This window comes from Homo sapiens, chromosome 10 (genome assembly GCF_000001405.40).
Source record: "Homo sapiens chromosome 10, GRCh38.p14 Primary Assembly".
Lineage (NCBI taxonomy): Eukaryota > Metazoa > Chordata > Mammalia > Primates > Hominidae > Homo > Homo sapiens.
In genome coordinates, this window is record NC_000010.11 from 115,904,118 (window position 1) to 115,920,790 (window position 16,673).

Sequence of the window (16,673 nt, forward strand, 5' to 3'; positions counted from 1 at the left end):
AAAGTTTTGAAAAGACCAATGGAAAGTCCTCAAGCCAATCACCTGCCAGCAAAGTTTCACATCAGGCAGGAATGGACCCTGTACCACTACTCCCACCAGGCTCAGCATTGGTTGGCTGGGACCATCCTGGAAGAATTTGGCAGCACCGCACATGGTGCTGGATCCAGAGGGGTGGCATTTGGGGTTTTGAGTCAACTGTGCTCCCCTCCACAGGAAATCTGACTAGCACCTTTTTAGGCCACCACTCTCAGCTGTTTGTTTTCCTCCTGCAGTGTGGCTGTTGCCCTCAGAAGAGATCAGCAACCTGTCAAGACAGTCTTACTCCTACTGGCCATTCTCCCAGGGCCAACTAATGCTGCTTTGGCAGTCACCATGGGATCACTATAGACAGTGTGGATTTCCCCCTCACAAGCTCTGAGATTAATGACACCTGTACATCCATGAAATTAGCTCCAAGACTATACTGTAGCCAAGGCTCAAAATCTATTTCCTATTCCCCATTTCAAATTATATATAGTCATGTTTCTAAAAGACAGCATAACAGGTTGTAGAGATCAAACAACCTGATTAAGATATTTAATCGACTGTCAACATAAAGATGCCCTAAGTTTGAATACAAACTCCCTACCATTTTCAAATTCCTGGAGAGAAATTTAAGTCCAAATATTCAATCACTTTACAAATTAAAGTCCAAAGAACATAAAGTCTGCAATCAGATTCTCTTATCCTAGTGAGCTAAATTTTAAAAATATATATCCACAGTTTATTCTCTCCAATTTTTGATATTGCTCAGTGCCAGGTACTGGGGTTATTGATACATAAGACGAGTTAGGATTGCTTGAACAGCTTCAGCCTGGAGTTTCTATCACTCGGATGGATGTAGTCCCTTCAGTGCTTCATAAATTACAGCTGAAGTCTGAAAGAGTTCAAAATAAATCCTTAAAAATCTCAAGATTATTATTGGCCTGGCACTTACCCAAACGAGAAAGTGAGCTAGTCCCCAGCTACTAAAGTAATTAGTCTAGTGCCCAGGGTTACTAAAACTGTAGCAGAGATTGAGTGCTAAGTGAGTAAAGGAGAGTAGTTGGAGAAAATATTGGTTTTAGTCTTTTTTTCCTTTGAAGACAGGGTCCTACTCTGTCACCCAGGATAGAGTACAGTGGTGCAATCATGGCTCACTGCAACCTCAACCTGCCAGGCTCAAGCGATCCTCGTACCTCAGCCTCCCGAGTAGCTGGGACCATATGCCTATACCACCACACCCAGCTAATTTTTTTTTTTTTTTTAAGTTTTGTAGAGGCAGGGTCTTCCTATGTTGCCCAGGTTGGTCTTGAACTCCTGGGCTCAAGTGATCCACCCACCTCGGCCTCCCAAAGTACTGGGACTACAGGCGTGAGCCACTGTGCCTGGCTGGTTTTAGTCTTCCAACAATTCCAGTCAGGCTATATCTGATGCCCAGAATCTATGACCTGTGAATATAAATTCAACGGAAAGAAATCTTTCCATAAGAGGTTAACTAGACCCTATACATTTGTATTTATGGGAAAAAGTCATCCGTGTAAATGGTCAACTCCAGTAAATGTTCTTGAAAATGGTCTACTCCAGTAAATGTTCTTAACCTGGTTATTCCCCTTTCAAAGCACTCATCTGGAGGCCAAGAATCACATCTGTCATGAGCACCATGGAATCCCTGGCATCCAGCCCCATGCCTAACATAAAGGAGGGACTTGATAAATAATTGTTTTTATGAAAAGAACTTAAGAGAAGTTAATTCCTCCTCATGTCATTCAAGCTTCTATATCAGCTTAGTTGAAGAATAGCCTGGTTTATAGGGTGAACTGTTAAAACTCTTTTAAAATTTACAACTGTGCAATGCAGGGTTTTCTTAATACTATGTAACAATAACAAAAAAATAAATCAAGCTCTGAGACTAGCATAACTGTGACTAACTTCCATAAGCTTTGATTTCCAAATTCTATGTTAATCACTATACCCACATTATTCTCATTGATTGACTTTACAACAAGTAAATATTTACTGTTATGACTGTGTTTTAAAAATTATAATTATAACTTATATTTACCCTAATAAAATAATACATTTAACATGCATGATTTTGTTTTAAAGCTAGGTTTCTGCTAATAAAGTTTGAAAACTACTGGCTTGGCGAAAGTAAAATTGGCTTTGAGGGTGAGAATTTGATCTGGATTCAGATTTCTCTCTGCCTTAACATATTTTAGACTCAGGTAACTATTTTGTAAAATGGGAATGATTATATATACCTCAAAATTTGTTTCAGGATTGAGAAAGTTCAGTAAGAAAATCTTAAAAGGCCCTGGCACAGAGCAGGCTCTGTGTCTTGTTTTCCTCCTCTCTTAACAAATGCCTTTATTCAAAACAATCACAGTAGATTATACAGGCCTACAGACAAAATAGGCATTTAGTAAATCTGCTGATTAATTTCATTTTTCAATATTTGAAGATATTTTCATTAAACAATTTTAACTGTAAGTGGGTTAAACAGTTTTCATTATTAGAATTGACTACTTTCTTCAAAGTTTTCGTATTACTTTATTCATACCTGGGTTCCAGTACATGCCTCCCCCTAGAATTTCAGCACCTAGAGTACAGGATTATATCCTAGACTTCATCTTTACAGTGAAGGCCATATAATTGAACTTCGTAAATTTTGAACAAATACTTTTTTTAAAAAAAAATCAGAAACCTATATATAAAACTACTTATGTACCAGCGCTTTGTAAATATTAATTCACTTAATCTTTATAATCCCCTGAGGTTGGTACAGGTTATCCGAAATGCTTCAATGAGCATTTCCTTTAAATATGATGTTTGAGTGTCAACTCAGTGCTGAAAGAGTTTTAGATTTTGAAGCATTTTGGATTTTGAATTTTCAGATTAGGGATGCTCAACCTGTACTGTTATTATCCCCATTTCCTAGATGAGGAATTTGAGGTCTAGAAAGTCCAAGTGACCTGGCCACAGTTACACGTCTTCTAAGTGGTAGAGTCCAGCTTGGAGCTCATCATTGCTTTGCTTTAATGTCCATTCTCTTGATCCTTGTACCATTCTGCCTCCCATTAATGACAATGCTTATCATCATCAAAAAGGAAGCTGCGGTAGCAAGCTGATGAGATTGGTAATAATTTAGCTCCAGAATTTTTGTATTACAGTTTCTATGGTAACCTTAACTCTTCCCTTTCGGTATGTGCTCATTCATACAGTTGAGCTCAGTTAGTTGCAGGTGCTATTTTGCTATTTCGTCTCACAGGACTACTTTATCCATCAAGCACTATGAGCAAAAGGCCATGGGCCTTATGAACATGTTTGAGAATGAAAACAAAGTTTTTACTCCAAAATAAGAAAGCTGCAAAATTAAAATTAAGAAATCCCTTAATTTAATAGCTACAACATGTAATATAATGCCCACATTATTGTTAAATGTAGTTTTCATACACATTTCAATACACTTGCAGTCTGTAGGTTTAATTGCTCACTTCATTAGAATTCCCAAGTAAGCAGGATCATTGCAGAATAATCATAACCAGTCATACATTATATAAGATACTTATAGCAAATATTTTAAAATAAAATTATAAAAAAATTTTAAAATATTTTATAATAAAATGTTATATTTAATGTGAGTACCTTTTACTCTGACATGACATGTAGAGGATCTGATGAAGGTCTTAAAGGCCTTGTTAGGACTTACTTCATTTTAATCCTTGACAAACTAACCAGCAAGCTGCCTACCTACTTCTCTGTACACACTAGCTATACTGAATAAGGCAAAGAAGAAAGCATACACCGTCTTATTGATGAGTTTTATAAGTAATCCACTTTTTAAAAGTAATAGCTATTTTTCCTATCCATTACCATGCAAATTCCTGAATTATTTCTAATTCTCATTTTTCTGATTTGGTCATTTTGAGATCTACTTCCTACAAGAAACAGCAGAGAACAGAAAATGTAGATTCCGTGAACACATAAGACCTCTCAGAACCCTTCGGCTGCTTGCTTGATTTTGAATATTCCATGACTCCTTCTCTGCATGGAGTACAATTCTGAGCTTTTAGGAGGCCCTAGCAAATTACCACGACCTAGGCAGCTTTAAACATAACACAAATGTATTACCTTACAGTTCTGGAGGTCGGAAGTCTAAAATGGATCTGCAAAGCTTCATTTTTTTTTCTGGGGGCTCTGGGAAAGAATCTGTTTCCTTGCCTTTTTCCAGCTTTTCGAGGCTGCCTGCATTCCTTAGTTCATGCCCACCTTCCTGCATCTTCAAAACTAGCAGGATCTGGTTGGTGGATTTCTCACCCTGCACCCCTCTGACCTCCTCTTCTGCCTCCCTCTTCCCCTTTGAAGAATGCTTATGATGACATTGGTCCCACCCAGGTTGTCCAGGATAATCTCTCCATCTGAAGGTCCTTCGTTTAATCACTTCTGTAAAGTCCCTGTTGCCATGTAGAATTCCAAGGCTTAGTACATGTGCATCCTTGAGGGGCCATTATTTTGCCTGCCACAGAGGCACAAGGCAAAATCTAGAAGAACAGATTTCTCAGGGCACCTAAGCTGCTGCCCAGCACACACTGTTAGTTATTCTCAGAGGTATATTCGGTTCATCTCACTCTGCTCCTGCTACTGGTTCCCTAATGCACCTTACATTCTGCTTCTAAAGTTGCTGCTGCCTCTCTTCCTACTCATTACTTTTTTCTTAAACCTAATAACATGGAATATATGATTCACTACCTCCCTTTGATTCTGTTGGTAATAATGCCCTGTGCAGTAGACCCTTGGTGGGCAGAGCAGTGTATGTAGGCACATGTGCACGTCATGCCTGCACACCCCCATCATTTTTATTTCCCATCTTTACCTCTGGGTTTTCACTACTGTTTATTCAGAAAATATACATATATTCTTTAGAGAATTGCCACATGCAAGGAATTCATTCAAGACTTTGTGTGAAATAATAATGTACACAGCTGTAGTGAACTTGTTTTCTCTCTCCCCCTAGGCGCAATCCCCCTCCCCTTCCTCTTCATGCCCAGTCAGTTAAAGGTACCAGAAGCAACAGTGGCGTAGACTTGTCAGACTCAGACCTGCCACTTAGCAGCTGTGATATCCTCCTCCGCATATTCCTTAATCTCTGTATGCGTCAGTTTCTTTATAGATTAAATGCAAATAGTGGCAGCTTTTCCACTTCAGACTGCGCTCAGGAATCAGTATTTCATTTGATTTTTAAACTGCCATCAAGGCTAAGACAAAGCCCTTATGAGATAAAGGCCAAACTCCTCAGGATAGCTCTACAGGGCTCTTCCAAATCAGATCCCATCCTGACCTTCCAGCTTCACCTTCCATTGCTTCTACTGCATCTCACCCTCCCCAAACCAGATCTGCTTGCCAGGCGCCAGACATACTGAAGACAGGACATGACTTCAGGTTAGCTTCATGGTTTTTTTTCTTTTTTCCACTTTGATAATGTTAAAAAAAAAAAAAAAAAAAAAAAAGACGAAGTGAGGTGGGAGGACAAATGCCAGCCAGTGTTAGAGAGAGATTTTCTAGAACTCCCAAGGAGAATTATCATGCCTTGAGAAAGGGGAGGACATATACTGAATATGTTTAAATTTAGATTAAATGTATGTTTCCTTTTACAACATACAGTTAATCAGAGATAACTTTGTAGCGATCAGTGATTCCTAGCCAGAAGGCTAGGAATTTGGCATTATTAAATCTTATCTTCCCTAAATAAAGTAAATGGGATACCCACAAATAACTGAGTCCTCATTTTACTCAATGGGCATTAGAAGTAACTAAATAAATTGAAAGTTGGCTGTTACTGAGGATGTTGCAACCTGATTTGGGGAGGAGTGGAGGAGGAGAAGACCATGAGAACTCTCACCTCTGGACAGGGCTTGGCACTCCGGAAGAGTTCCACTTTTTATGCACCTGATCCCTTAGCACCACTAGGTGGTAAGAAAGCAACTGAAACCAACCTGAGAAGGGCCATTGACATTACATCCTCCCCAAGTCACCTCCATATGGAGGAAGAATGACTAGACCCACAGGAGTGAAAGCCACAAGGTCAGAGGAAAGGGGCTGCTGCTACCACATTCTCAGCTGCACTCTTGGTCTTGATACCCTTTACATAGACCTCTTTTACTTCTTAAATGCTGTGTCAAGGGCACTCAATTTGACTATTCTGAGTGGATGAATTTTTAATAAGTGGTGTTTGTCAACACCTGTCTCCCCATCGGGGAGAAGCCTTCTGGGACCCAGGCCATGCCCTGTCACCCTGTCACACCTCCTGACCACTATACATGCTGCTCCAGTAACTGAGCCACCCCCCACCCTCCTTACATGCTCATCAGGCAGTCCGTGCTCAGCAGCCCATCTGTGAAGCATTTCCTAGCCGGCTGCCACACCCAACACAAGCAAGGAAAGGCCATTCATTAATATTTTATGCTAACCTTTAATGCACTATACAGGATATATATGTGTGTAGAACAGAATTTTCCTACAGACTTCTCATGAAAACATTTCACTCACTGGGCTGGGCTGGTCACCATAGAAATCAAGTTAAATGACTACAGTGCCTGCCTGTTAGAGGCATTTGAATGTACACCATAGCAGGGACAGGGGCACACAAAGAAATGAGAGTAACCCTCTGAGAAAAATCCTAACTTCTCATCCCGCCTGCCAATATTTTTTTCCTATAAGATAGTAAATAACTACAGCAAAACTTCTACTAAAATGCATGACTGACATTTCGTTTTTTGCTTTCTAGTTTGCAAGTTGTTTTCATGTTCGTTATCTCAGTGGATCTTGGCAACAACCCAGTGTAAAACTCGTTGTATTTTTCATTATTTATTTATTTATTTATTTTGGAAACAGAGTCTCACTTTGTCGCCCAGGCTGGAGTGCAATAGTGCGATCTTAGCTCCCTGCAACCTCCGCCTCCCAGGTTCTAACGATTCTCATGGCTCAGCCTTTGCTGGGACTACAGGCAGGCACCACCGTGCTCAGCTAATTTTTTGTATTTATAGTAGATAGAGGGCTCTGCCATGTTGCCCAGGCTGTTCTCAAACTCCTGAGCTCAGGCAATCCAACTGCCTCAGCCTCCCAAAGTGCTAGGATTACAGACATGAGCCACCACGCCCGGCCTAAAACCTATTTTATTTATTTATTTATTTATTTTCAAGATGGAGTTTCACTCTTGTTGCCCAGGCTGGAGGGCAATGGTGCAATCTTGGCTCACTGCAACCTCCACCTCCTGTGTTCAAGCGATTCTCCTGCCTCAGCCTCCCGAGCAGCTGGGATTACAGGTGCCCACCACCATGCCCAGCTAATTTTTTGTATTTTTAGTAAAGATAGGATTTCACCATGTTGGACAGGCTGGTCCCGAACTCCTCAGGTGGTCCACCCACCTCAGCTTCCCAAAGTGCTGGGATTAAAGCCGTGAGCCACCGTGCCTGGCTAAAACCCATTTTATAGATCATGAAATTGAGGCCCGATTTCATCAGTTGAGGCAATTGACTTATCTAAAGTTACAGAGCCGGTGGGCGTGGCAGTCAGGAGAGAAGAGTGTGGTCATCCATCTATTCATCCTCCACCAAGCCCTTAGCAGGCAGCTGCCATGGGAAGAGCACAAGGAAGAGCACAAGGGAGATGCTGATAAATGAACTCCACTTTCTCCCCTCAAGCCGCTGCTGCCTTGCTTTTCCCATGCACCATCCCGTGTTTCTCCCCGTTCCTCCTTGTTTCATCTGCCTATTATTTCAGTAACTCATTCTGTGCTCAAAGGAAGCCCCCGTATGGTGTGCTTCCTTTATGTACTATGTTTCTCACCACTACACCATGCGCTAACACAAGACTATTCAATGATTGAATCTCAGGCTTGTGACTTAAACAGTTTCCCACACATTGGGACATCGGGAAGCATTTGGGGGGAAGAACTACAGGAGACAGGGCAGCCTAGTTCTAGAAGTCATCATCAATAATGAAGATACAACAAGGCCACCAAAGCAAGGGGGAAATCCAGGGAAATTTTACAAACAAATGATAAACCATTGATTGTTGATTATAGGAAAAGCTCACAGAAATCAATTAAGGAAATTAACATATCCATACAATGAAGGGACAAAATATACAAAGGAGCACTTGATAAACAAACTAATGACTAATAAAAATGACTGTAGTCTAACTAGTAGTCAATAAAGTAGATATTAAAACAATAATCTTCACCTGTCAAATTAGTGAAATACATATATATATATATATTTGTGTGTGTGTGTGTGTGTGTGTGCATATGATGAAACAGGCACATTTTAAAAATACTGCTGGTGGAAGAACAGTGTGATAGGTCTTTCAGTAAAAGTAACTGGAGCTATGTATCAAGAGCTTCAAAAGAGTTCATATTCAGGTTCAGTAATTTCATTTTTAGGAATCTACCTTAAGGAAATAATTAGAAATTTGGTCAAATACTCAAAACAGAAATGCTCAACACAACATGATTTATAAAAGTAGAAAATTGACAGCTTAGATGAATGGTAAAAAAAAAAAATTCCATGAATTATCACAAAGCTCTGTGCTGTATCATAATAATGCAAAGAATATTTAAGGATGTCACAAAATGTCAACCACAATTAATTCTCCTGAAATCTTGGAAGAATGTCATCACTCTTCATATGGTAGAAATGGTGGGTGACAAGGGGCTTCCTCCACACAAGGCAGGGAGGGAGCATGGGGCTGAGGACCAGACCTGGCTGCCACCACTTACTAACCGTGTGGCCATGGCAAAGTTGCTAGACTGCCCAGAGCTCCCAATTCCCCACAGTGTCCCTTACACCTACCTTAGCAGACAAATTGTGAGATAATGTGTATGAAAACGTTGATGTGGTAAAGAAGCTAGGGCAGCTGCTGCTGGTAGCATAGAATGCAGGCACTGGAGAGAAAAAACTATTAGTGGGATGGATAACAGGCTGCAAAAGTACTTTATGAACTAAATTGCAGTATGTGTCTAAAGTAATATTTTAACTGATTACAAATTTTCATTCTTTTTCACATACAGAACATTCATATCCCCAGCTGCCCTCAGTATCTTAAACATTCCAATTGCCTAATTATTCAGATGTCCTCCACCAACACAGTCCTGAGTCCTTTGATCATCCCCATCCACACCAGCCCCCAAAGGTGGCTCCAAAAATCACCCAGACCCCTGCAGGGTAGCCCTATGTCAAAGGACTAGCTCTAGGGCCAGAAGACCTGATTCAAAGCCCAGTTTTGTCACATGCCAGTTGCAAACCCCAAGCCAAAGTGCTTAACTACTGTAAAGCCACAGTTTCCTCAACTATAAAATGGGGATAGCAGCTTCTACCTCATAGGGATGGTGAGCTTTTATTTGGATTATTTCATTTAATCATCTGTGCAATACCTGGCAGAGAGGAAACAGTACATGGTAGGTTTTATTACTACTACTGCCTCTAACTCATAGATGGCTTTCAGCTTCCAGTTACACAATGCTGTTCCTCCCAGCACTGCTCACATGTTCTAGTTAAGGACAATAGAAGCAGCCTCCAGAGTGTAGGACAATGTCAGCCTGTGCAGAAAGCATAGATGGAGTCACAATGCGTGGCCCACAGCCTTTGGGGCTATCCAGACTGCTCATGGATGCCCCCAAACTGTGACTGGGGACATCTCAACCTACCCTGATGTAGGTTTTGGGAATAGGTACAAATTGAACATGTGGTTAGCATTTGTAACACTTCATGAAGATATTGGGAGGGGTGGGTGATATGACCTAGCCCTGTGTCCCCACCCAAATTTCATCTTGAATTGTAACACAAATTCTAATCCCCACGTTTTGGGGGAGGGACCTCATGGGAGGTGATTAGATCATGGGGTAGTTCCCCCATGCTGTTCTCATGATAGTAAGTGAGTTCTCAGGAGATCTGATGGTTTTATAAGGGGTTTTCCCTGCTTCACTTGGCACTTCTCTCTCCTGCCACCATGTGAAGAAGAACGTGTTTGCTTCCCCTTCCACCATGATTGTAAGTTTCTTGAAGCCTCCCCAGCCATGTAGAACTGTGAGTCAATTAAACCTCTTTTCTTTGTAATTTACCCAATCTCAGATATTTCTTCATAGTGGTGTGAAAATGACCTAATACAGGTGGTATATCAGGGAAGACAAAAGTCACTGGGGAAGGATAGGATAGAGAGGAAGAAATCTGGTGTTGTCTATTACACCTGTGGAAATGATAGGATTCTGAGGTCATGTTGACCAAAGAGCAGGGATTTGGGGGTATGGAATAGGCCACCAATTGAGTCAAGGCAGATGGAGACTGGTTTATGCCACATGCGTACCCAGCTTGAGTGGTCCTGCCCTGAGCAGTGAGCAAGTGACCAGCAAGGACTTCCAGGTGCCTGGTGTATTTCTGCTGGTGAGGCAGTCCCAGACCTTTCCTTCCTGTCACTTCATTGCCTTTCAGCTTATCTGGACACCTACTTGGTACTTCCCCATGCTGAAGGCTACATCATAGTCATCACTGTTTCTTACGGTTGACTGGTGGAGACCTTTCCATTTTATGTTTCTTTTCCCGATTGTTCAACTGTTAGGAAGTGAGATAAGGGAAATGAGTATGGGCTTTGCAGTCAGAAGAGGATTCACACTTCTACTGTGCCCCTTCCTAGTTCTGTGTCCTTGGCAAAGTTGTTTAATTTCTCTAAGCCTCCATTTCTAAACTATTTGTAACAAAAATATAAAAATATGACATCACACTCCACTGTTGTAAAAATTTATTGAGAAAGAAAAGTATTTGGAAAAAAACTAGAATACAATATATGGTTAGTAAGTGATACTGTTTTTCTCTTTGGACAAAAAACATTTAAGAGAATTACTGAAATATTATTCTTGTGGCATTACGAATATCTAGTCAAATATGTTTGTAAATGTCTTGATGATCAAAAATATTTGACAGTTATGGCTGGGTGCGGTGGCTCACACCTGTAATCCCAGCACTTTGGGAGGCCGAGGCAGGCGGATCACGAAGTCAGGAGATGAAGATCATCCTGGCGAACACTGTGAAAGCCCGTCTCTACTAAAAATACAAAAAAATTAGCCAGGCGTGGTGGCGGGCGCCTGTAGTCCCAGCTACTCGGGAGGCTGAGGCAGGAGAATGGCATGAACCTGGGGGGCGGAGCTTGCAGTGAGCGGAGATCGCGCCACTGCACTCCAGCCTAGGCAACAGAGCGAGACTCCATCTCAAAAAAAAAAAAAATTTTTTTTGACAGTTACAATGAAGCCAAGTGCTAAGGATATAATGATTAAATAAGACAAAGTTCTTGTCAGTTGGAACTTTGATTCTAGTTGGGAAAGACATCAGATAATTAACATACATAGGTATATATAAATATATGTATTGGTATATATATAGATAAGATGCATAAACTAATGTATGTATAGAAAAATAATATATCCATATGTGCTTAGCTGTGCACTTTTAAATGAACATCTTGCCTTTTGATTGATTATCTTAGCTGGTGATAAGGACATGTGAATGAAATCCCAGACTCCAAAGTATCAGGTTCTAAAGAGATTAGAGTGAGGAGGTAGATTTTGAGCTAAGAAGGATCATGCGTTAATGTCTAAGAATATGCATGCTATAAATTGTGACACCTCTGAAAGTGAAGTCAGCTGGCTTTCCTAGGCCAGCAAATTGCTGGTGACCCTGGAGAATTGTATAAGGCCACAATTTAATTGCACAGGCTTTAAGAGATCTGCACTCCTTTATCCCATTAATTCAACCTGCAACTTTGTTCTCTGGTCCCTTTTGAATATTCAGTTCTCATTGATTTCAATGGGAGTTACAGACTCAGAGAAAGGGAAGAATTGGGCCAGTGATCTGTTCAAAGCAAAGCATCATTTAAAGTATAGTTTTAAAGTATTTGCAGGCACATAGGTGAGTCAGCTCCTTCTCACGAATTTGTCTAGAATGCTTTCCAGTTTAAATGGACCATCTTAAAGGGCAGTCACCTTCCCTAAAATTGCAGCATCATACTCATGCACCACATATTGGATTGTGACTGCTGGGAGGCAATGACTCCATGTTGTGGTCTCAACTTTACTGCGGAATTGCTTCAGATTTAAGCTATAGCCTAATCGTAATTAGCAGCCCAAAGTAACATTATAAATTCCTACAATGCCTATTGGGCTCTGTCTGCTGTTCCACACATCAAGTCAAGTCAATATAGCCTTGCCCTCAGAGACCTTTTGTTTGAAATAGTCTCGGTCTATTGGTCATGCACCAACACAGAGGCAAAGAAGCAAAATGGCTGTAAATACAACGCTTAAAGCAAGTGAACTTGCACAGACAGGGAACATGGTGCTATGATTTCAGCTCTCCCTCGCCTCATGGACTATATAGGTTATAGCACTTGGCTGCACGATAAATTTCTGTAAAGCACATCCTATTTTTGTACTCATTTCCATTGTGTAATCCCACGTGCATTAGAATTCATGAAAGTCTTATTTGAATATTTCTTTAGGAGAGAGATCCCGACAGTGTAGACTGCCAGACATCCAACTCCCCAACTACTCTGTGTCTGTCCAGACTTCTCAGTGCTGATACAAGCTGCAGCCTTGGGAGCTCAGGGCCTTCTGTTTACTGGGAGCTCTTTCTCTGACCAAGAGAAAGTTATCTGTATCCCACTTTGAGATACCCAGAATCCGTGCTTCCAACACCTCCCTGTTCCTTCTGTCTGGGTATTTATATTGCTTAGGAGGACCAGGCTCAGGACTGGCCCCCTGTCAGGAACTGCCTCTAGGCGTGGCGCAAAAAATTAAGTTCCCAGTTTTCACTTTTGCAATACAAGTGAAGAGAGCTGCTATATACAGCCTTACAGGTCGTACAGTCCAAATCAGAAATGTGGCGACACTGCCAATGCTGAACCTTGTCAGCGCTTTGAGATGGCGTCTAACTCTGACTGCCACTTTAGTGGCTGTGCTACCTTGGGCACTCTCTGGATCCTGACTTTCTCCCTCTCTAAAACGGGGCCGGCTGGGAGCGGTGGCTCGCGCCTGTAATCCCAGCGCTTTGGGAGGCTGAGGTGGATCACGAGGTCAGGAGATCGAGACCATCCTGGCTAACACAGTGAAACCCCGTCTCTGTGTTGTAAAAATACAAAAAATTAGCCGGGCATGGCGGCGGGCACCTGTAGTTCCAGCTACTCGGGAGGCTGAGGCAGGAGAATGGCGTGAACCCAGGAGGCAGAGCTTGCAGTGAGCTGAGATCGCACCGCTGCACTCCAGCCTGGGCAACAGAGCAAGACTCTGTCTCAAAAAAAAAAAAAAAAGAAAAAAAAAACGGGGCCATGATATTCACCTTTTAGAGTGATCATGTGGACTACATTAGACAAAGCGAGCAAAACGTCTGCTCACTATGTAGTGGTTTTTGGTTTTTTGTTTGTGTTGTTTTCAACGAGAGAGGTTATTTAAATGGATAACATCCTTACCATGGAGTAAAAGCTCATATGTGATTAATATTTTGAAGGAAAAATTCTTGTTTACTTTTCTCAGATATTGAAGATATTCATGCTAACCACATTTTGTTCATAATAATGCTCCAAGGAAAATTTTCTGCAGGGCTTGATTCTTACTACAGTATTTCAGGCCGGCTCAGCACTCCCTCACCTGGTATTTTCCATGTAAACAAGTAACAAAATAAATAGGGGCAACAAAAGTCACTGCTATTGTAATTATTAACAAGTATTCTTTGGTTGATTGGCTTTTCTTATGTAAAATTCTGTTTCTAATAATTGTTAAAATAGTAAATAAGAGGTCCCAGAAATAAGATTTGTATCATGTTTAAACTCCATTTCAAAATGTTTATTGCCTTGCTGCAAAATAAAAAAAAATCTCAGATTTGTGTGATGTGTCCTAGCTTACAGCAATCTATTTTTTAGTGTCTTTTTTTTTTTTTTTTTTTTTAAGACCAAGTCTTGCTCTGTAGCCCAGGCTGGAGTGTATTACACGATCTCAGCTCACCGCAACCTCCGCCTCCCAGGTTCAAGAGGTTCTCTTGCCTCAGCCCCCCGAGTAACTGGGATTACAAGCGTGCACCACTGTAGCTGGCTAATTGTTTTGTATTTGTAGTAGAGACGGGGTTTCACCATGTTGGCCGGGCTGGTCTTGAACTCCTGACCAAAGGTAATCCGCCCACCTTGGCCTCGCAAAGTCCTAGGATTACAGGCATGAGCCACCGCGTCCGGCCTTTTTAGCGTCTTTTCTTTGCCTTCTAAGTAGTTGTACAGATCTAGAAGTAGTGCTAGCTACATTACTTGTGGAATATAAGGTTAAGAAATTCCCAGGAAAAGTTTAAATAATTTCAAGGCAATTATTTCAGTAACTTTAAAGAAATAATTAGAATTTTTAGAATTCACCAATAAGTGTTTATATAGTAGAGATGTAGTGGGGTTAGGGATTTGGGAATGGCAAAAGGGGATAAAACACACAGCCAGAACCTCTTCAGTGGTAACTGCTAAAACAGCAATAAACAACAAAACCACCAGTGGTCAAATTGTGTAGTATGGGCTTTAGGTGCTAAAGAAGTTCAGAAGGAGAGAAATTTTAGTGTAGTCTTTGATAATCAGAGAAGTTTGCTGGTGAAGCTGGGTCTTGATCTAGGTCTGAAGGGATGAACAGAATTTGGATAGGCAGAGGTAATAACTGTTCCTTAGTGTTTAATACCGCTGATCTGCAGTGGGAATCTGCAAATTCTTTCACATTATAAGGATGTAAAATATTTCCAAATAACTAGCAAACCTAAGAACTTGACTGTGAATGCCTAAGATGATTCAGCAATAAAACTTCTAGACATAAATAAAACCCATCTCAAAGCCCTGACTCAGCAATAAAACTTCGCAGACATAACCCCATAGGAAGAAGAAATACCACCACTGAGGTCCACAGTTCCAGTTGGGAACCAGCATTGCCCTGAGTTTGTGCATCAGATCTTCAAAAGATAAGGGGTCAACAGATTGTGATTATGCAAAAGAGGTGTTCCAATTCTACTGATTGTGATTATGCAAAAGAGGTGTTCCAATTCTACTTGGGCACACAAGTAAGTAAGTTAACAAGAGAACCTGAAAGTTAGCTAAATTGGAAAGCTGGCTGAAATGCTAAATAAAACATACTCAGTAAGAAACGGCGTGTTCACTCAGCCCGGAGGAAGTGCAGCAGAATGGAGAATGTTTTCTAATACAGCTCTACTCATTATAATCTCAGCTCAGAGCTCCTCAGTGATAGGTACAGAAGGCATATTGGAAACTTCCCACATGTCTATTTCCTACTAAGTCTATCATCAAAAACTGCAAAATTTAAAAATCACAGTGAATGTTGACTGGTTTTCTTCAGATAAAATGATGATGAAGGTATTAACATTCTGTGCTATAGATGCCATACTGAATGTGTATATATAATTAATATTATGTATACATATATGTATACATATGTACATATGCATACACATATATATATAGTCTTAGTCCATGGGCTGTTACAACAAAAACATCATTGGGTGGCTTAAACAGCAAACATTTATTTCTCACAATTCTGGAGGCTGAGGCTTCGAAGATCAAGGTGCTAGAAGATTTGGTGACTGGTGAGGGCCTTCTTGCTGATTCATGGATACTGTCTTCTCACTGTGTTCTCACGTGGTGGAAAGGAGTGAGAAAGCTCTCTAGAATCTCTTTTATAAGGGCACAAATCCTATTCATGAGGGCTCCACCCTCACGACCTAATCACCGCCAAAAGGCACCACCTACTAATATCATCACATTGTGGGCTAAGATTTCAACACGTGGATTTGGGGGAGACATATTCACTCAATAACCCTGTAAATTGAAATTTATAGTTGTTTTAAGAGTCTGCTCACCTGCCTGTGTACCCCAGTATCCTCTTCTCATTGAAGTCCAGTCTCATCCTTCCTAACAACTCAAAATCTAGACTCATGGACAGCATTCTTGTCACATTATTCCCCACTACTCCATGCCCATGTTATGTTAGACTCGTGGTTTTGTAAACAAACACATTTTGAACTCTCTTTATTTTCACCTTCACGGATATCCAGCAGGTCACTCTAAACTCTGCCTTACCAGTTTATTCTGATCTTATCAGGCACGTGAAGTTGTGGTAAAATGTGTTCTGTCCTCACCTCTGTCATCATTGCTGCTACTCATGGAACTCAGACCAGGAAAGCCAGAGCTAGTACAAACACCTCCAAAGAAGTAGCAAATGACTGGTTGTGGGCAAGAGTAACATGAAGACTGTAATTCTGAGACACTCACCCATTCCCTGCCAGGGAATAATATAATTGTTTACCTGTGTTATAGACACCCAGAATCTAAGAGAGGCACAAGAATCCATCTAGCCAGATCTGGCATGAGACTCATTTGCTAAAGGTCCCCAGGGGGAATTTGTATAAGAAGAGGAGCCCAAAAGTGCATGGAATAGATTTAAGCTGTCCCTTGAAATGACCTTGCCTGGTTAACCAAAATCTGGATTCATTTTTACTGTGTCTTTTACAACAATCACCTTCACAGCATTAGACGGAACCATTAATGAAAGCAGGAGCTCTTCTAGTCAGTACACATAAAAAGAA

The 16,673-nt window shown here is 41.0% G+C and overlaps 1 protein-coding gene and 1 long non-coding RNA gene across 8 annotated transcripts in view; one reads left to right on the forward strand and one right to left on the reverse strand.

The window, feature by feature from the left end:
• ATRNL1 (attractin like 1) overlaps positions 1-16,673 on the forward strand; it is an 855,635-nt gene that overhangs the window by 810,753 nt on the left and 28,209 nt on the right. The gene's annotated exons all lie outside the window — the stretch shown is intronic.
• On the reverse strand, positions 837-15,033 carry LOC105378497 (uncharacterized). The gene is made up of 4 exons (XR_001747597.3): positions 14,966-15,033; positions 10,523-10,625; positions 8,871-8,962; positions 837-916 (listed from the first exon to the last, which is right to left on the reverse strand). It is a non-coding gene; the product is annotated as an uncharacterized LOC105378497 (long non-coding RNA).